General features: G+C 46.2%; 1 protein-coding gene and 1 long non-coding RNA gene across 34 annotated transcripts in view, besides 3 other annotated features; one reads left to right on the top strand and one right to left on the bottom strand.

Moving 5' to 3' along the window:
• Window positions 1-67: 67 nt before the first annotated feature.
• On the bottom strand, window positions 68-4,388 carry LOC105370887 (uncharacterized). The gene is made up of 2 exons (XR_932440.3): window positions 4,228-4,388; window positions 68-164 (listed from the first exon to the last, which is right to left on the bottom strand). It is a non-coding gene; the product is annotated as an uncharacterized LOC105370887 (long non-coding RNA).
• Window positions 10,203-10,292: an enhancer, noted in NCBI's record as "active region_9718". NCBI's record gives its function as "activates an Ori minimal core promoter by ATAC-STARR-seq in GM12878 lymphoblastoid cells {active_cell/tissue: GM12878}" and the evidence as "EXISTENCE:reporter gene assay evidence [ECO:0000049][PMID:35858748]".
• Window positions 10,353-10,402: an enhancer, noted in NCBI's record as "active region_9717". NCBI's record gives its function as "activates an Ori minimal core promoter by ATAC-STARR-seq in GM12878 lymphoblastoid cells {active_cell/tissue: GM12878}" and the evidence as "EXISTENCE:reporter gene assay evidence [ECO:0000049][PMID:35858748]".
• Window positions 10,543-10,962: a silencer, noted in NCBI's record as "silent region_6620". NCBI's record gives its function as "represses an Ori minimal core promoter by ATAC-STARR-seq in GM12878 lymphoblastoid cells {active_cell/tissue: GM12878}" and the evidence as "EXISTENCE:reporter gene assay evidence [ECO:0000049][PMID:35858748]".
• PARP6 (poly(ADP-ribose) polymerase family member 6) overlaps window positions 10,705-20,823 on the top strand; it is a 31,374-nt gene continuing 21,255 nt past the window's right edge. For 11 of the 33 annotated variants that reach the window (NR_136605.2, NR_136611.2, NR_136604.2 and 8 more), the window contains exons 1-8: window positions 10,705-10,866; window positions 11,972-12,236; window positions 15,588-15,784; window positions 16,437-16,514; window positions 17,268-17,362; window positions 17,786-17,846; window positions 18,088-18,178; window positions 18,638-18,704. Coding sequence is in view for 19 of the 33 variants with exons in the window: in NM_001323526.2 (NP_001310455.1) it covers window positions 15,782-15,784; window positions 16,437-16,514; window positions 17,268-17,362; window positions 17,786-17,846; window positions 18,088-18,178; window positions 18,638-18,704 (395 nt within the window). In the remaining 14 variants the exon portion in view is untranslated. Of the gene's footprint in view, window positions 10,979-11,971; window positions 12,237-15,587; window positions 15,785-16,436; window positions 16,515-17,267; window positions 17,363-17,785; window positions 17,990-18,087; window positions 18,179-18,637; window positions 18,705-20,823 lie in introns of those variants that run through there. The other 22 variants (NR_136599.2, NR_136608.2, NM_001323524.2 and 19 more) reach the window with 9 other exon arrangements.

Raw genomic sequence — 20,823 nt, 5'->3', positions numbered from 1 at the left:
CAATGCAATAATCATAGACCCAACAAAAACCACATTCACCTATTTCCCAAGGGGAGATAAAACAGAATTACATCCAGTTGCTTTATTGAGTCCTCAGTCCAGGGTCCCTTGGTGATGGGCAATTCTTGCTCAGGTCTGGATATGACTTCTTAAGATTTTGCCATCTATAGGTAAAAGATAAACTTAGCTACCCCATACTTGCCCTATAACCAATGTGAAATAAGGAGAAAAAGAAGATCACAATTTGTTTTAAAGAGATGGGGCCTTGCTAATGCTGTCCAGGCTGGACCTGAACTGCTGGGCTCAAGCAATTCTCCTGCCTCAGCCTCCTGAGAAGCTGGGAATACAAATACACACCACTGAATAATTTTTAATTCTTTTTTTTTAAATTAAGATGGGGTCTTGCTATGTTGCCCAGGCTAGATTTGAACTCCTAGGCTCAACTGATCCTCTCACCTCAGCCTCCTGACTAGCTGGGACTACAGGTGCATGTCACTGCACCTCGCTATAACAGTTATTTAAAAACCTTCCATTTGGAATAGGGAGAAGAGAATACAATGGTCACTAATCTACAGCATATAACACATCCTTCTGGACAGTGGAGTGAATTTCTTGGCCAACAAAACCTATTGTTTTTGGTCCTTTCCACTGGGACATATCTCCTTTGTCCATTGTTGTTTATGGACATCCCTGAGAGGATGGACCTTTGGAACTGAAGCATCCCACTTCCCTTTTGACATGGTTTTGAGTTATTTATTGAGACAGTCTTCCTCTGTTGCCCAGGCTGGAGTGCAGTGGCGTGATCTCAGCTCACTACAACCTCTGCCTCCTGGGTTCAAGTGATTCTCATGCCTCAGCCTCCTGAGTAGCTGGGATTACAAATGCCCACCACCACACCTGGCTAATTTTTATATTTTTAGTAGAGACAGGGTTTCGCCATGTTGGTCGGGCTGGTCTTGAACTCCTGGCCTCAAGTGGTACATCTCCCTTGACCTCCCAAAGTGCTGGGATTACAGGTGTGAGCCACCGTGCCCAGCCAGTTTTGGATTTAAAGATTGACGTAGAGATTAAGCATTCCCAGATCTTTGTTTGTCAGTTGTGAGGATTCTCTGATTCGTGGGCTTTCTTTGAGCTGGTAACCATCATGAGGAATCCTTGATAATGTCCTGCTCCATGAGTTTCAATCCTAGCTCATGTGATTTCTTCGTCTTAGCAAGAGGTCACACTTTAGCCATTCCCCTACCTCTCAGCTTTGTGGCTTCCATAATGGTCTGTCTATAGTGGTAAGTCAACCTTAATCTGCTCACTACCCCCAAAGAGAGATTACTCATTCAACACTTGGCTGACTCACGCTCCAGTGACCTTGGTCTTGACCAGATATTCAAAATACCTGAGCAGTACTGGCTCCTAGGCCTCAAGCCCCAAGGAGATGCATAGGACAGGATGGAAGCAACCAGTCAAGCACTCTTGGACCAGCAACCTGCAGCTTGCTCTACTCCTCCAACTCTGGCCATGGCCCATTATTACATTGAGGCCACACAATCGAAAGACTCCTCAGGGGAGTCTCTCAGTTGACACTGAATTTTGGGGGCCCTCTTACAACCTCTAGAACTTAGGGGCTCTGGGCAGAGTCTTCAGCCTCCAGCAGATCCCCTAGAATGAATTTCTCTCGCTGGATGCAATCTGGGTGTCTTGGATGTAGGGAGAAAAGTCCTCTGGTCTGAGATAGGACTGGTGACCTCTGACCTTGAAGCAGCTCTGGTTCTGCTATGTCCTCTGACCAGACCTGGGGGCTCACCCTGGCCTCAGTGGAGCAGAACATGCATGTAATACCTTCCAAAAGAGGGTGCTATGATGTGGAGATCACAGAATCTCACTTGATCCTTTCCAGCTTGGGCTGTAATCTTTGAGCAGCCACTGTCCTGATTGCACTTGCCTCCATCATGACATAGCCAAACCCAGCAGGGACTCACAGGCTGTTTCTGGCCTCTGAGCCTCATTCATGGCCAGTATATTTGCACAATTATGTTACACAGCCCTGTATTATTTGGAAGAAACTGCATGAGTTCAGGGAGCTAAGAGGCAATGTGGGCCATTCAGCTGCCCTTCTAGCCTGCAGCCCGAGCCAGCTGGGATCTGCAAAGAGGTGGCCAAGTCTGTGCCAAGTACAAACTAAGAAGGGGCAGAGGGCCACTCTTTGTCTCCCTAGCCCCAACTCCAGACACAGCTATTATGGCAACCTCTGCCCTCTAGAAGCCTGGGCTGACCAAAGCCTTTAGCTGGCCATCTGTAGAGGGGACTTTGAACTTCCAGACTCTGGCCTCCTGCCCTCTAGTTACCTAAAAGCACAGAAACTCAGAAGGCAGAACAGGCCACAAGCCTGGGTCTGGCTTTTCCCAAGGGATATCTTAGGTGACCAGCAAAAAATGCAAGAGAGTAAAGAGAAAGCCTGTGGAATGAGCCTCAGCCTCCTGGGGAGTAGTCCCGAGATGGCCTGACCCAGTGACCTGACACTGGATTCCCGAGAGGAAGCCAGCAGTCTGGGCTGGATTCCCTGCATTTGAGTGGGAAAACTCAGCTGTGTCCTCAGGACCTTTATGTTATATGGGGACTTAATGTAGAGATGGGGGCTTTGATTTTATCTCCATATCTTAACCCAAGTCTCTAGAAAGCAGACCCTGAGGCAAGTGCTGACATTTTGCAGGGAGGTGGAAGTCCAGGATGGTGAAAGGGAGAAGAGACGAAGGCAATGCAAGATGACGCAGTACTGTGCCGGCCGCCACTTCATATGAGCTATTAGGAGAGAGCACGTCCCTTGTCAGGCTTGTTTGCCAAGCACATGGTGTTTGAAAGGAGAAATGGCACCTTGGAGCAGTTCACCAAGGGGAGATATGAGAGGGAATTAATGCTTCTGTTCCACTCTCTTCTCCTGTTTTCTGTTGGCCAAGATTCCACCCCACAAGGAGCTAACTCCCCTGCACTTCTCAGTTGCATCATTTGCTCCCTGGATGGCTGTTGGGAAGTCAGCTCCCATGGTCTGCTGTATGGCATTTCTACTATAGACATGGAAGTAGAAGGGCTACTTAGCACAGGCAGGGTGCCAACCAAGAGACAGAAAGAAGGAGGTGGCTAGGGAATCCAAGAAAGTGCATGAAGTTCGTGCCCAAGACATCCAATTCTCTCCCACAGGATTCACAGCCAAAGTCCCCAGGCACCAGAACCCCCAACACTGTCTGAATTCCAAGCCAAATACATCTTACTTAATTTGGAGGGGTGAAAAGGGAAGCATTCAGGTATAGCTTGAAGGATCAGGATTCTCCCTTTTTTCTCTGGAACTTCCCAGACCCTAAACTCACTCCAATATCTCCTACTGGATTTTCTACCTCTAGGCCTTTGTTCTTATTCACTTTAGTTTGGGGGAAAGGATTTGGCCTTTATAGTCGACAAGATGCATGATTATCTGACCTTTAGCACCCTGGATTGCTGGTCAAAAGCAGAAAAGGCGGCCGGGCGAGGTGGCTCATGCCTGTAATCCCATCAGTTTGGGAGGCCAAGGCGGGCAGATCACCTGAGGTCAGGAGTTCCAGACCAGCCTGACCAACATAGTGAAAACCCGTCTCTAGTAAAAATACAAAAATTAGCCAGGCGTGGTGGTGTGTGCCTGTAATCCCAGCTACTCAGGAGGCTGAGGCAGGAGAATCGCTTGAACCCGGGAGGCGGAGGTTGCAGTGAGCCAAGATTGCGCCATTGCACTCCAGCCTCCAGCCTGGGTGACAGAGGGAGACTCTGTCTCAAAAAAAAAAAAAAAAAAAAAAAAGCAGAAAAGTCAACTCTAAACAAAGCTGTATACTGTTCTGATTCTGCCAGCATGGAGGAAAGTCAAACTGGAGGACCTTATTGAAAATCTCAAGAAGAGGTCAACATACTCCAACATCCAAACTTTTTTTTTTCCAGTGCATCCCAGAAATCTCCACTTTGATGGATACATGACTTGAATCTCAAGATAAAATAGATGATCATTTAACCAGCTGGTTTGATACCAAATAGCAGGGGTTTCCAGTTCCCCAGCCAAGTGGGGATCTCCACTGCCTCAACTTCACTTCAGTGCCATCAATTCCATACCTCATTCCATTTCTGTATTAGGTCTGATTTAGTAGCAAGTTATAGGAACCAAGACAAACCAGCTTAAGCAAGATGAGAACTGAGAAATGCGGTGGTATTACTGACCTCAGGCAAGGCTCATCTCAGGGGCTCAAACAATGTCATCAGGTCTCTCTCATTCCATTTCTCAGAGCTCTGCTTCTCTTTATGCCTTGGCCCCATTCTCTGCCCTGTGGCAGGGAGAGCTGGGTGCCAGCAGCTTCAATCTCATATCCTCTTAGCACATTAACCTCAAAAGCAAGAGAGCTTTGAGCAGAAGATTATGATTGGCTTTGCTTAGGTCACAAACCCACACCTGAACTAATCACTTTGGTCAGGATGATGGAGTCCTTTGCCTGGCCTGATGGGTCATGCATCCATTTGTGTGGGGTAGAAGGGGGCAGGAGGTAGCATTGTGATTGTCAGCTCCACTAAGTACTAATACTTACAAAGTATAAAAGTATGCAGCCGGGCTCGGTGGCTCATGCCTGTAATCCCAGCACTTTGGGAGGTTGAGGCAGGTGGATCACCTGAGGTTGGGAGTTCGAGACCAGCCTGACCAACATGGAGAAACTCTGTCTCTAATAAAAATACAAAGTTAGCTGGGCATGGTGTCACATGCCTGTAATGCCCAGCTACTTGGGAGGCTGAGGCAGGAGAATCACCTGAACCCAGGAGGCGGAGGGTGCAGTGAGCCGAGATCGAGCCATTGCACTCCAGCCTGGGCAGCAAGAGCGAAACTCCATCTCAAACAAAAACAAAGTATGTCCTGCATGGCCTATAAGAATGTATAATCTGGCCAGGCTGGAGTGTAGGATGCATGTGAGGGGCTGGTGAGAGTCAAATAGGGTTATATCTATAGAAAGGGTGTATTTATCCTGAGAGTAGTAGAGAGACATTGAAGGGTTTTATTTTTATCTTATTTTATTTTTTGAGATGGAGTCTTGCTCTTTCACCCAGGCTGGAGTGCAATGGTGCGATCTCAGCTCACTGCAACCTCCACCTCCCAGGTTCAAGTGGTTCTCCTGCCTTAGCCTCCTGAGTAGCTGGGATTACAGGTGTCTGCCACCATGCCCGGCTAATTTTTGTATTTTTAGTAGAGACGGGGTTTCACCATGTTGGCCAGGCTGGTCTCGAAGCCTAACCTCAAGTGATCCACCCGCCTTGGCCTCCCAAAGTGTTAGGATTACAAGCATGAGCCACTGGGCCCAGCCTATTGAAGGGTTTTAATAGAGGAGTGACATGATCAGATTTGAGTTTTAGAAAGATCCCCTAAGCAGCTAAGTGGAGAATAGATTGCAGGAGTAGATACTGGATAAGGAGTCTATTAGGAGGCGAATGCGATAGTTCTGGTAGGGAGGAATAGGAATATAAAGGAGGGATTGATTTAAGATGTATTAATTTGCTCGCACTTGTAATCCTAGCACTTTGGGAGGTCGAGGTGGGAGGATAACTTTAGGCCAGGAGTTTGAGACCAGCCTGGGCCACATATTGAGACCCTGTCTACTACTCCCCAGGAGGCTGAGGCTCATTCCACAGGCTTTTTAGTTTCTTGCATTTTCTGCTCAGCACCTAAGATATCCCTTGGGAAAAGCCAGACCCAGGCGTGTGGCCTGTTCTGCCTTCTGAGTCTCTGTGCTTTTAGGCAGCTAGAGGGCAGGAGGCCAGAGTTTGGAAAGAAAGAAAAAGAAGAAGAAGATGTATTAAGATGTAAAATTTAGAGTTTATGAGGTAAAATTGGTTCCATTTAAATAAGGATGGGAGAAGTCTAAGATGCTTTCTTCTCAGGGTTCAGTCTGAATAAGTCATAGGTGAGATTTACTAAGTTAGGAACATGAAAGAAATACAGTGAGAAGATGTTTGCCTATGTGACATCCAAGTGGAGCTGTCCAAAAGACAACTTGACCAAAGTTAACTTGAAACTCAAGAAGTACAGGATGGAAGCCAGGCGCGGTGGCTCACGCCTGTAATCCCAGCACTTTGGGAGGCCGAGGTGGGTGGATCACAAGGTCAAGAGATTGAGACCATCCTGGCCAATGTGGTGAAACCCCGTCTCTACTAAAAATACAAAAATTAGCCAGGCGTGGTGGCGTGCATCTGTAGTCTCAGCTACTCAGGAGGCTGAGGCAGGAGAATCGCTTGAACCTGGGAGGCAGAGGTTGCAGTGAGCCAAGATCACGCCACCACACTCCAGCCTGGCAACAGAGCGAGACTCCGTCAAAAAAAAAAAAAAAAGAAGAAGAAGTACAGGATGGAAATATAGATTTGGGAGTTCCAGTCTATAACTGTGTGTCACTCAGGTGGATTTAAATGAGACTTTTGTTGAAAGGGCACTAGGTGGGTCACGGGATTGCCAGGCAAAAGACCCAAGCTTGGAAAATAGGCAGGAACAATGAGAGGCCAGTCCACCACAGCACAGGCCAAATTCAGATGCCAGAACCAGCTCCACAAGACCACTGCTGCTGTCATCATTATTGGACATGGGATGTCACCACTACCAGTACCCACACCATGAAAGTCCCTGGGCATGGGGTAAAGCTGACCCTGCTCTCCTGTCACCATTGCCACTGGCATGAATTCTCTATGATTCTATTTCTCTGAGTCACTCCAGAAACTACATTTCTGGAAGATGCTTGGCCAGGCCAAGGTCACATGCCTCTGTCTTAGCTAGAGAGCTGGGAAAGCAAAGATTCAACCTTTTTAGTGTCTGTCATGAAAGATAGGCTCTGCTTACTTCTAAAACTTGTAACATAAGAAGGAGATTCTGTTTCTGGGCAACCCCAAATTATCAAGATCTCCTTCAAGTGGCCATGGAGGCCACAGGGAAGAGTAATAGGAGAAATGGATGTGGGCTGAACTGCTTTTCTACTTAAGTAGGGAATGAAGGAAAGGGAGTATAATAAGGATACTGTGAAGGAGTCATATGAGGTGTAGCAAGAAACTGGAAGAGTGTAGCCCATAAGAGCCAACAGAGGAAAGGGTTGCAGGGGCAGGATGATCAACAATGCCAAATGACACCATGCAGTCAACTGCAGGGGCAAGATGATTGACAATGCCAAATGACACCATGCAGTCAACTGCAGGGGCAAGATGATTGACAATGCCAAATGACACCATGCAGTCAACTGCAGGGGCAAGATGATTGACAATGCCAAATGACACCATGCAGTCAACTGCAGGGGCAAGATGATTGACAATGCCAAATGACACCATGCAGTCAACTGCAGGGGCAAGATGATTGACAATGCCAAATGACACTGTGTGGTCATATAAATGAAGCCTGAAAATTCCCAATGGATTTGTCCATTTGTAAGTCATGTGTCACTTTGGTGAAAGTATTTTCAGTAGAAATTTTGGGGAGAGGTCAGATGACACCAGATTTAAGGAACAACTGAAGACAAGAAAGTGGAGAGGGGGAGTATAGGCTACTCCTAGAAGTTTGGTTAAAGGCAAGAAAAATCAGTAGCATGGCATATAGGATTCAAATTGGATTTTCTTTTTACGGTTGGGCTAGTTGATCAAGCTTATATACTGAGATCAACGAGTAGGGGAGAGGAAAAAGTTGAATATAAATGAAAGAGAGAGGTAAGGAGCAAATTTCCCAAGGAGGCAAAAAGGAATGAAATACAGATCACAGTGAAAGGACTAACTTTGTATTTGAAGAGAGCCCTCTCCACTTCTGAAACAGAAAGGATGGGAGAGATTCAAATGTTTGGAGGGGACAGAAAATTGAGGCAGTTCCCCCGTGGCCTTTTATTTATTTATTTATTTTTAAAGAGATGGGGAGTCTCGCTCCATTGCTGAGGCTGGAGTGCAGTGGCATAACCACAGTTCACTGTAGCCTTGAACTCCTGGGCTCCAGAGATCCTCCTGCCTCAGCCACCCAAGTACCTGGCACCCAGAGCCTTTATTTTTTCTGTGAAGCAGAATGGGGGATGGTGGGAGAGGCTGACATGGGAAGGGTTGCTGGGTACACTGAGGACTCTGCTGAGGAGACAATGAATTTGTAGGAGCTCTGTACTGAGTGCACATTAAGTTAGCTTAAGCCATTTATTCTAGATAAAAACTGACTCCTAGTCCCTCAAGATCAGAGGGCCTCAGAAAGTGCCTTGGGCAGGGTATAGTGGCTCACACCTGTAATCCCAGTACTTTGGGAGGACAAGATGGAGGACTGCTTGGGCCCAGGAGTTCAAGATCAGCCTGGGCAACATAGGGAGACCCCATCTCTGCAAAAAAAAATTAATTAGCCAGATATGTTAGTGCATGCTTAAGCCTTGGAGGCTGCAGTAAGCTATGATCACACCACTGTACTCCAGCCTGAGTAACACAGTGAGACCCTGTCTCAAAAAAAAAAAAAAAAAAAAAAGAAGGAAGGAAGGGAGGGGTGCCTGGGAAGCTGCCAGAAAGCAGAGAGTAGTCTCACCATTTCTGGTCTCTGCCTCTCCATGCTTCATTCTGTGTCCCCAGATGGTCTTTTTCCTTTTCTCATTCATCATAGTAGGTGGGAGGTAGATGTACCATAGCTCCTAAGTCTATGTCTCTTTTGCTTAAGAAACCAGTCCAGTTAGAATCATAATCTGTCAGCTCTAATCCCAGATTTTCAGGAGAACATCTGTTTAACACAGCTTAGACCAGGAATCCACTCACAGTTCAATAAACTGCAGCTAAAGTGCTAGAGGTCACACAAGACGAACATGGCCCTGGGGCCTGTGGATCCATAGTGTGGGTGTGGAAACGATAATTCCCACAGAATAGGGTTCATGGGCTAGACTAACCTAAATGGTGTCCACTCACAAGCTTAAGTGTGCAGGATTGGATGACTTCCTTTATCCTGGTTTAGGATGGGAGAGTAGAGAAGGTAGATAGCTGGCATGACCCAGGAGTGTGATTTTTACAGAGTAAGTGCAAGCATATTAACAAAGATGTGATTAAAATGACTGACCAAGGATGTGGACTGGGTAGGAAAAGAGGTGAAGCCTGGAAGATACTGGTAAACTATGAGGTGGCTGAGATTCATGATGAATAGAAGAGCTAGTGGTGGTATGCTGGAAAGGGGGAATCCTAAAGGTTATTGAATACTGGAGTTGGACTTGTCACTCATGGGCACAGTGCTTATGTTCAAACACTCCCATACATACTTGGTTCTCAAAAGCTATTACGGGGCCCTTGATGGTGAGTTGTTTTAGAGAGCAGGCCTGACTCCTTCCCCTACCACTCTGAACTTCCGCACTCTGAAACCGAGGTTATATTGATCCCTCACTTTTTTCAGTTACTATAAGCAGTAGATGTAACAAACTCACACCGAGACGGTGTTGTGGCCCAGGCTGAGTGGCAAGGTGAGCAGAGGGGGACATCAAAAGGGGAAGGAGTTAGAAAGGAGAGGCTGAGAATGTGCAAATGTAAATCAACCAACAACAAAAAGTTAACTGGGAAACTTCTGAGGCCAGCTTAGGAGGGATAGACATGACGTGTTTATATCATTCAGGGCCAAAGCCTTCTTTGTGTGTACTGTGTCCAGCTACAAAGAGGGAGTGAGGAAACAGAGTAGGTCTAAGATAAGCCTTTTCCCATTAGTGTTGATGGAAAAGAGGGTCACGTGGAAGCCCCAAGACTAATAAGGATGAAGGAGATCTGGCCATGTCTAGGGTTAATAACCACAATAACCACAATTACAGCTTCCATGTATGAACTACTTCCTAGTCCCAAGTACTCTGCTGGTTACTTTACATGGATTAGTTGGAATCGTATGAAATTGAAGGTATCTGACTGTTTATAAACTGCAAAAATAGCAATTTCCTACGGTTCAACCTAACACTATCTCAGTTCATCCTCACCACAACGGCTCCGTGAAACACATATTACTGTCTCCACCTCAAAGAGGAGAAATCAGATTCACAAAGTGAAAGTCATCGCTTAAGGCTGCACCATCAATAAGTGCCGAACCCAAGCTTCAGACCCAGATTGACTAGAAGGCCAGGGTGCTCTCCATCACGCTGCAGCTACCGGGGAACAAATGAGTTAAATGCCAGAATTTTTAAAAGCCCGAGGTGTTCGACTTCCATTGTCGAACCAGAGAATCCTGCAGTCAGCAAGGCCTCAGGACTTCCCTCAGTCTCTACCTGCCGGCCCCAACCTCCGGCGAGGGGACTCCCTCCCGGCCTACAGGCAACCTGGGTTGCCCTTCCTGCTTGTTCCTCCCAACCACTCGGGGCGCTAAATGCAAGTATTCTCCTTTGGAAGGCTCCCCGCACTCCCCCAGAGTCCCTCTTCCTTCTCCACTGCCTCCCCTACCCACGGCGCAGGCGCCACCCCCCACTCCGCACCCTTTCCCGACTAGCGACCGCCGCGCAGGCGTCTCAAGGCTGGCGTCGGCTGCTGAGGCGCGCCCAGGAGCAGGCCGTCAGGCTGTTGGTCAGGAGCGGGCCACGTGCCATCGTGTCACCGCGCGAGCGTGCGCAGAGTGGCTGAGCGCGCCCGTGACGGAACGACGAGGCGTGGGGTGCGCGACCTCGCCCGCCAGGCCCGGCCCCCGCCCCTTGGCCTGCCGCTCCGCCCCCGCGGGGCGTCCCGGGCCGCTCGTCCCGTCGGCTGCGGCCGCGCGCGGCCCGGGGTCGCCGTGAGTACTCGCCAGGCTGGCCTGTGTGGCCGCCACCACGGGCACAGGGCGGTGCGGCCGGGCCACGGGAAGGGTGCGGGGCTCGCCCCGTCTCCGCAGGGGTGGACGAAGTGAGAGGCTTGGACCGGGAGGTTCTGAGGGCCCCTCCTAGGCTGGACAGGCTTCACTCAGGCCCGGCGGCCGGGCGGCATAGATCGGGCCCAGAGCGTCTTTCCTGGGGAGGCAGGTGTTGGGTGTTTTTGGGGTCTTCAGGGGAGCCCCGGAGAACAGGTGTAACTGCTTCCCCGGGAGAGGCCTCAGGGCCTGTCCTGGAAGCACGGGTGCCAGAGAGTGTTTTCGCGGGGCAGCCGTGTCCTCTCTCCCTGCGGGGTGCCCGAGATAGCGCTAACCTGCGGGAGTCGCCCCTCAGTGATTCTTCCTAGTAGTCTTTGTTTAGTGGCCTACTCCTGAGAAGGGAGCACACGGGATGGAGTGGAGTAACCTCCTCCAGGACCACAAAGCCGGGAGCCCAACCCACAATTTAAACATTGAGCTCTGAAGCTGCTTTGACTAGACGTGAAGTTGTCACACCTAGAGAAGCGCCCATGGACCTAGGGAAAGACCTTTGTGATCCAGACTTGAGGCTCATTTACATTTGACTTATTCTCGTGGAAACTCATAAAGCGTTCTATATTAGCCGCTGAGTTTTAACACCTTCTCTGGACACTCATCATATAGTCTATTTTTGGCCCAACTTCTTTTGAAAGGGCCCATTCTTTACCTCATTTAGATAAATCAGATAGGTCTTTCTTGCTTACTTCATTAACAACTCAATTAATTATAACCACATCACATGAAGATTAGATGTAATTAGGACCTGTCCAATGTCTTTACATCCCAGTCCTTCTGTACTCCTAACCTTAAGCAAATTGGTCGACCTCTGTAGGTCTAAGTATTCTGTGTGTAACATGAAAGCTTTGAATTAGGCCACGTTTCCGGCTAATTTTTTAAAAAGTGTTTGTGATCCTGTGAATTCCATAACCCACCACCTTCCTTTTCCAACTCTTCACCTTTTAAATCCACTTTCCATCTCTCCAGAGGAAAGGGCATTGAGAGTAGAGGAAGCAAGTCCCTTTCACTAAAGCAGCCTGGTTTGAAAAAGCCGGTAATCTCTGAACTGTCTCTTGCTTGAACAAGAAAAACTCCCTCTGAAATACCTTTTTCTCCTTGTGATAGCAACAGAAACCAAGCAGCAACAGCCCTTGGAAAGAGGCTAAATTTTTCTTGACTTCTGCAGCAACAAAGACCGTGAAAAGTTGGCACTTCTGGCCTAACGCTGCCGTCATCCTACCCCTCACCCCAGGGCAACCCAGGCTGGACATTTAGTGCCTCCCTCTTTATTCCTCTGTGATCATCCAGATCAGCACTTGACTGTTTATTTTCAAATCTCACGAACCTCACCCCAAGATCTTCACATTCTGGATCTCAGCTGCTCTTGAAGGTGAAGTTTTGCTTTTTAAAATCATTTTTTTGTGTGATTTTTGTCTATGTGTAGAAACATGCAGGTTATTGTATATATCTCCCATTTGACTTAAGTATCCAGCAGAGGGTTCATTCATTTATTCTCTCATTCAAGAAATGTGTTAAGGGACTAAGAATGTAGACTGAAAGCAGTCAAAGCCTCTGCCACCAGAGGTTACATTCTGATAAACATTTTATATGTTAGAACATGGTAAGTGGAAAAAAATAAAGCTGGGAAGGGAGATAGAGAGTGCTAGTGTGTGGGTGTTGAGTTGTTTCTGTTTTAATAAATAGGATGGTCAAGGTGGCCTTTGAGCAGAGATCTGGAAGAGTGAAGGAACAAGCCATGTGGATATCTGGGTGGAAAGCATTCCAAGAAAGGGGAACAGCAGGGACAAAGGCTCTATGGCGGGAATATGCTTGGGAATATGGTGGGAAGATGAAGGCCCTATAGTGGGAATATGCTTGATGAGTTTGAAGAACAGTAATGAGGCAATTGTGGAGTGTTGGTTAATCTTCCTGTTAACATTTAGACTTGACTTTGAGGACAGCCCATTAGAGTAGCTTCTGATTTTTTTTTTAAACTTTTTATTTTGAAACTTTTCAACTTTACACAAAAGTAGGGAGGTAGGGATTACCAGAAAACCATCATGTACGTCACATAGCTTCACCAGTAATCAACATTTTGCTATTTGCTGTATTTATTTCATCTGTTATCCTCCCTCCTTTTTTTATGTGTGTGCCAGGGTAGTATTTTAAACAAATCTCAGTAATCGGGTCATTCCATCTCTAAGAACTTTAGTTATACTTTCCGTTTGCATGTTGTTTCTGAAGGATCAGGCAACACTATGAGCTGGAAGACTCCTATGCTGGCTCTGCTCTGGCATGGTGTCTTTTGTCCCCATCCTGGCTTAGTTACCAGACTTAAGTTGGTATCTAAGGAATGAACCACAGGTCCTTAGAACACACAAGGATCTAGAACTAGAACAGTGGTTCTCAAATTTTATGCATCAGAACAACTTGGAGCGTGTGTTAAAACACAGATTACTGGGTCCAATTTCTGGAATTTCTTTTTTTCTTTTTCTTTTTTTTTTTTTTTTTTTGAGACAGAGTTTTGCTGTTGCCCCCCAGGCTGGAGTGCAATGGCGCAGTCTTGGCTCACTGCAACCTCTGCCTCCGTAGGTCAAGTGATTCTCCTGCCTCAGCCTCCTGAGTAGCTGGGATTACAGGCGTGCACCACCATGCCTTGCTAATGTTTTTATTTTAGTGGAGAAGGAGTTTCACCATGTTGGCCATGCTGGTCTCGAACTCCTGACCTCAGGTGTCCTGCCCACCTGGGCCTCACAAAGTGCTAGGATTACAGGCATGAGCCTCAGTGCCTGGCCATTTCTGGAGTTTCTAATTCAGTAGGTCTTAGGAGGAGTCTGAGAATTTGCATTTCTAACAAGTTCCTAGATGATACTGATGCTGTAGGTCCACCAACCCCAGTCAGAGAATCACTAATCTGGAAACCTGACATTCAGTAGAACTGTATTAGAGACCTGCCAGGCACAGTGGCTCACATCTGTAATCCCAACACTTTGGGAGGCCGAGGCGGGTGGATCACCTGAGGTCAGGAGTTCGAGACCAGCCTGGCCAACCTGGTGAAACCCCGTCTCTACTAAAAATACAAAAATTAGCTGGGCATGGTGGCGGGCGCCTATAATCCCAGCTACGTGGGAGGCTGAGACAGGAGAATTGCTTGAACCCGGGAGGCAGAGGTTGCAGTGAGCCGAGATCGCACCATTGCACTCCAGCCTGGGCGACACAGCGAAACTCTGTCAGAAAACAAAAAAAGAAGAAGAAGAAGAACTGTGTTAGAGACCAAGAACACCTCTGTTTGAGGTTGGAGTAGCTTCAGCTGCGATGTGTGCAAAGCCAGTGACTTGCTGGTCTAGAGAGCAACAGAAAGCTTTTTTAGCCTGCTTTTAGGGTAGATTTGCCATCTTCAGCCATTAAAGCCTTCATAATTTCACAGATGAGTTTTTTGTTTTGTTTTGTTTTTCTGCTATATGTGGAGGTTTTAATGGAGCTAAAAGTTGCTGGTATAGGATTAGGAGTCTGTGGGATTAGAAGCGAGCAGGGAATTGTGTATGAAAGGGCTCTGGGTTAAGTAAAAGTTTTTCTAAGCAATTTTTGGGATAATTATTGCATTTTTCTTTGGGAAGCAGGTTCCAAGATGACTTTAGGGCATTATTTTGGCAATGACAACTGAGACCATAACTGCCAAAAGATGTTCAGTGTTGTTGAGGACTTTTTATTTTGAGATGGAGTTTTTGCTCTTACTGTCCAGGCTGGAGTGCAGTGGCGTGATCTAGGCTCACTGCAATCTCCGCCTCCCGGATTCAAGCGATTCTCCTGCCTCAGCCTCCTGAGTAGCTGGGATCGTAAGCGCACGCCACCACACCCAGCTAAGTTTGTATTTTTGGTAGAGACGGGGTTTCACCCCATTGGTCAGGCTGGTCTTGAACTCCTGACCTCAGGTGATCTGGCCGTTGAGGACTTTTTAAGTTAGCTATTGTTGCCGTATAATAGCTAGTAATACTGATGTTTAAAGAGAGATACTGGCTAATATGGAGAAATAACTAAGAATAAAGAGTCCAGAAATAATCCGATTCTGAATCTTAACTCTGGTGTGAGTTGGTACTCTGAAGAATTAACTGACAGAGTAAACATAAGCATCTTGTCCTGCCACCATCACTTTTGGCTTTAGGAGTTGTAACATTATGAGCTAGAGCAGGATCTTGCTCTAATCCCAGCTCTCCAGTTTAAGTAGAACAGCAGTATCTTGCATATAGTGCTTTTGTGTTTCATTATCTATAAAGAACTGCATGTGCAAGTGTGCATGTATATGCACGCAAGCATGTCTTTTTATATGCAAGTATCTGTATGTATAATAAAAGTGTATTAATAGCCAGGTGCAATGGCTCACGCCTGTATTCCCAGCAATTTGGGAGGCCGAGGCCGGTAGGTCACCTGAAGTCGGGAGTTCGAGACCAGCCTGGCCAATGTGGTGAAACCCCATCTCTACTGAAAATATTAAAATTAGCTGGGCGTGGCAGCAGGCACCTGTAATTCCAGCTACTTGGGAGGCTGAGGCATGAGAATTACTTGAACCCAGGAGGCGGAGGTTGCAGTGAGCCAAGATCGCGCCATTGCACTCCAGCCTGGGCGACAAGAGCGAAACTCTGTCTCAAAAAAAAAAAGTGTATTGATAAATACGTGTGCCTGTATATATACACCACCCAGCTATTAAGTGGTGATGAAACCCATTATTATCTACTTTCCACAGGACAGTGACTTGTTACCACCGCAACAGCAGAGCCTGCCATCCCCAACAGATCACCAGTTGTCCCTGACATCGTGCCCTACCTTGTCTCCCTTTGTGGTCTCCTAAATGCCCATCTCGTTGGCCTTGGTTCGGCTAGTGGTATGGAGGGGTGCTGCCTAGCACTGACCTGAGAGTGTGTGTGACCCACTGACCCAATGGTGAGAACTGACTGCCCACCTCTCCAACTGATTGTTCAAAGGGTAGAGGAGACAAAGTGCAGATCTCACCCTTTCTTGGTATTTTCCCTTCTACCCTTTTGGAAGATAGAGTGGCTATTTGAAGTTAAAGGAAAGGGAAGGGGCACAGAAACAGTATTACTTGGTGTGTTTGTGTAGTGGGTTTTCTTGGGGAGGGAGAGGAGAGTTAAGTACTTTAAAGGATAGAAAGAAAATAATGAGACAAGAGAGTTTAGGTGTGCTTGGGAACTGTCTTAGGTAATGATCCTGGAAGAGGCCAGCTTGTACTGGAACCCAGATATGCTTAGGAGTCAACCTTGACATTGAAGTCATTTGCATTTCTTTCCTACTGGCTACCAGAGCCTCTCAGTCATCATACTGAGACTTCAGAAGGCCAAAATTCCCTAGATGTTTTCCTCTGTCCCACTAAGAGCTAGTTTATGGATATGATCATATCAGGAAGAGACTGAGACTCTCACAAAGGGTGACATGAAAGGTGTAAAGGGATCAGGGCTTCAGTTATTCTATATTTCCCAATCTTTGTGGGAATCTGTTCCTCACCATATCATCCCACGCCTTTCCATGGGATAATAGGGACCTAACAAAGCATGATATCCTTATTTCTCACCACTAGGACATCAAAGGCCAGTTCTGGAATGATGACGACTCGGAGGGAGATAATGAATCAGAGGAATTTCTCTATGGCGTTCAGGTGAGGTTACATCTCCCAAGACCCCCGTGTTGGATGGTCTAGATATGTGCTGCTTTTTGGATACATCAGGAGTGAAAGAGGTTCTGGAGCACAGATGAGATGAGGTTATAATGTTGATGTGGTCTGAGCATGGTCTTGTCAGAGCTGATCCCGTGCCCTTGCTCTTTCTTTGGAGTCATACCTGTTCCAGAGTAAACTACATCCTCTGTATGTGGAGACTACCCATATCTTAATTAGACATAATTATTTTCTGACTTTTATAACACTAGCCAGTGGGGGTAGTTTCATTCATTAGGGTCACATCTTAAAAGATTACTCTGCCAGCGTTTGCTTAATGCCATCACTACCCAGGGCACAGTCCTGAGCAGAAGTACCCAGACTCTCAGAATGCTCTTCACTTAGAACCAATCTTAGGAAACCTGTAACTCTTCAGCCTGTTCTGAGTTGTCATAGAAGGTATCCTGGTCAAGGTCTGAGAGAAAAGCTGGAGATTTAAGGAAGTGAACTCCAAGCAAAAGCCTACATTTGGTCTGCTGAACCTTTTTAAAGTCATGATGAGATGGAGACCTCTGTTAATGAAATCCCTTGCTAGGGTCACCACTGAGAACCCCTTCACATAAGTGGCTTTTACTTCCCCTATACTGCTGTCTGATTTCTCCTGTTCCTGGTGTCTTTTCATATTCTTTTTATTATCTCTCTCTTTCCCTCGTCTTTTTCCACCTCTCTCCACCACCATTTTTGCTGCTATCTCAGGGGAGCTGTGCAGCTGACCTGTATCGACACCCACAGCTTGATGCAGACATTGAAGCCGTGAAGGAGATCTACAGTGAGAACTCTGTATCCATCAGGTGGGACTCTACTTCAGGGGTGGCAGGGGAGCAAGTCACTTCTTTCTGAGTTGTTAAAAGGCTAGAGGTTTTTCTTTTTATGGTATGATAGTGGGATAAATTATGAACTTAATGATAGAAAATGCTCAGAATAAATGAGCTTGGCTGAGAGTAGAGAGTAAGGCCACTTTTCTTAGGAATTCCCTCTTATCCTAGACCCCTCTGGGCCAGTAGTTTCACCTTTCAGGTAAGAAATGCTTTTGGCCTGGAAGTAGATCCTGATCAGGTAAGTGGTGTAAGGCTATAGCTAAGACCCTAGGTACAAAACTGTCATCCACTCTTCCCTTTCCCCTGTCCCCAGGCTCAGTTCTCTTTCCAACTCAGTTTCTATTCCCTTCTTTCTCCCTTAATGAGTCTCACCTGTTGTCACCTGTATCTCTATAGAGAATATGGAACTATCGATGACGTGGACATTGACCTCCACATCAACATCAGCTTCCTCGATGTAAGTGGGGCTAGTACCTGCCAACAACATGTCTAGCTGGACTTGTGGAATTTGTCATGTAGGCCAGGAGTCTTGTTCCCGAGTGCTGTATTTGGAGCACATATTCTTCATCTCTGTCTTTCCTAGACCATCAGCAGACAGTGGTGTGTACTGTCATGTGCATGTGTGTGTCATATAGGGGAAATTTCAGGTCCATTCGTCTATGTTGCTAAACTGGAAACTATTTCCCTTCTTCTTTTAGGAGGAAGTCTCTACAGCCTGGAAGGTCCTCCGGACAGAACCTATTGTGTTGAGGCTGCGATTTTCTCTCTCCCAGTACCTAGATGGACCAGGTAAAGGCAGTGACTTTGGGCAAGTGGGTGGTCTGAGTGTGGTCTAATCCAAAGCCCTAAGTTAACTGAGGTAGAAAAAAATTAGGAACAAGGTCCTTGGGCTCAATCTGCAGGCTATTGGTAGGGGCTTTTTAGTCCCCTGTAATTGGTATCTTCATCCCCTGTCACCTAATAACCATTCCCTAAAGGCCTTCTTGCCTAATGACATTGTTTTCTCTGGTTCCAAGATAAAATTTCTTTCTCCTCCTTTTCTCAACATCCTCCTGAGGATATTTCAGATTCATATGACAGCTTCGAGAATCTGCCCTCTCCCTCAGATGTTTTTTTTCTTCCACCGTTACTGTTTAGAGTACCCAGCAGCTATGATCTTTAGAATGTATGGAAGCTATTCCACTGAGCTTTGGACTCCAGGAAGACAAGAGATATGTACTTACTAGTAGCCTTCTCTTCTCTTTGCAGAACCATCCATTGAGGTTTTCCAGCCATCAAATAAGGAAGGATTTGGGCTGGGTCTTCAGTTGAAAAAGTAAGAACTTTGGTCTTTTCTGGTCATGGACATGTGAAGGAAGGAGAGAGAGGTGGAAATATATGGATGGACAGGCAGAGCCTTGGATGGAATGCCCCCTTCCAAAAATGTCTTTCTGAAATATGCCCAGGAAAAGCTAAAATAAATTTAGGGAGCCAGATTTAAGCTTGTGGAGAGAGAGTATGTGGTTCTTGGGTGTCAGAAGCTGAGACTTTCTAGAGATAAAAGAGGCTCATCACTACTTAGCATTTTTACTACCCTGAAATCAGAGTCATGCTATTCATATTTCTCTAGTGGTTTCTTCAGAGTAAGTCTCTAGGAACTCTAGTTTATTGAATGTGTTGAGCATTAAGCTAGGTATTTGGTATGCAAAGAAATGAAGCATATTTTCCACTCTCAGTGAAGTTTCAAATAGAGTCCACTGGATACATATTCTAATACAGGTGAATATGTAAGGTTTAGAAAGGACACTGAAGAGTGACTCAGTCTGTTGAAAGGGTGATGATTAATAATTTCCTTTTTTTTTTTTTTTTGGAGACAGAGTCTTGCTCTCACCCAGGCTGGAGTGCAGTGGCATGATCTTGGCTCACTGCAACTTCTGCCTCCTGAGTTCAAGTGATTCCTGTGCCTCAGCCTCCTAAGTAGCTGGGATTACAGTCACCCACCACCATGCCCGGCTAATTTTTGTATTTTTAGTAGAGATGGGGGTTTCTCCATGTTGGCCAGGTTGGTCCCAAACTCCTGGCCTCAAGTGATCCACCTGCCTCAGCCTCCCAAAGTGCTGAGATTACAGGTGTGAGCCACCGCACCCAGCCAATGATTAGTAATTTTCAAGGATGGATAAGAGTTGTCCATGTAGACAGATTCTGAGGGTGAATAACATTTGCAGGGGCTTAGTCACATAAAGCAGTATATGTGTAGGGAGCTTCAGGTAGTTAAATATTGCTGGTAAAATACAAGCTGGGGGTGTAGGAGCCAAAGCCAGAGAATAGGGAAGGGTTCAAGTTAGAGAGGATCTTGGACTTTTATCCTTTAGGCAGTGTGAACATTGAAGGGTTTAGGGAAAGAAATGACGTGGTCAGATTTATTTTTAAAAACCATTCTGGTAGCATTATACAAAATGGGTAGGAGGGGATGAGACAAGAGACCAGAACTAGTGTAGTAGGGTGCTTTTGTAAAAGTCAAGACAAGAGATGCTAAAGGCCAGAGCTAAAGTGTGATTATAGGTGAGAATGGAGATGAGAGACAGATTAGAAAGATTTGTGAGATATAAAATCAATAAGACTTGAAGACTGATTTAGATATATTGAATATAGCCATAAGGGCCAAAGAGTAGTGGAAAATACATTTAGGTTTCCAGCCTAGATGTCTGGGTAAATTGTGATACCACCAATGTAAATAGGGATATGAGAGGGGAGCAGGTTTGTAGGATGATGATAGGTAATTAGTTCCATTTTTGACATGTTATTTAAAGGTAACTTTCAGATATGCAGGTAGAGATGCTTATCCGAAATGTCAATTTGCTACTTACCAGAGTATATGTCAATTTGCTACTTAAAGGAGAGGTTAGGGTTGAAGATATGCATCAATGTGTGTGGGAAGAAGTTACAGTCAGTGAATATGAGATTGCCAAAGGAAGGCATGATAGTGGGAAAAGAAGATAGGATCAAGGACAAAATACCCTTAAACACTCAGATGAAATCCCAAAGAAACCAGCAGGGTAGGCAGAGGAAGAAGAAACACTGCAGGTAGGTCAGAGTAGAATAGGAAGATAATGGTGGCACAGAAGACAAAGGAGGGCAGGTTCTGCAAGGAGGGCCAGATGCCAGAGAAGATAAGAGAAGAACCTGGGAGTTTCCATCGGATTTAGCATCAGGATGAGAACAATTATAGTGGTGAAGGTAGGAACCAGAATACAGAAAGTTTGGAGGTGAGTGGTTGGCAACAACATAGAAACAATGAGTATGGGTTGAGAAATTTGTATGGGGATGGGAAGGCAACAGGGAGAGGTTAACTAGACTAAGGTGCAGAAAGTTGACATCTTTTGTTGACTTTGGGAAAGGAACTGACAGGAAAGGGGAATGATTGACACATCATGGTCCCTAAAAAGGCAATCAAA

Source organism: Homo sapiens, chromosome 15 (assembly GCF_000001405.40).
Source record: "Homo sapiens chromosome 15, GRCh38.p14 Primary Assembly".
NCBI lineage: Eukaryota > Metazoa > Chordata > Mammalia > Primates > Hominidae > Homo > Homo sapiens.
Note: the sequence above shows the minus strand (reverse complement) of the source record. Positions and strands in the feature narration are given on the sequence as shown.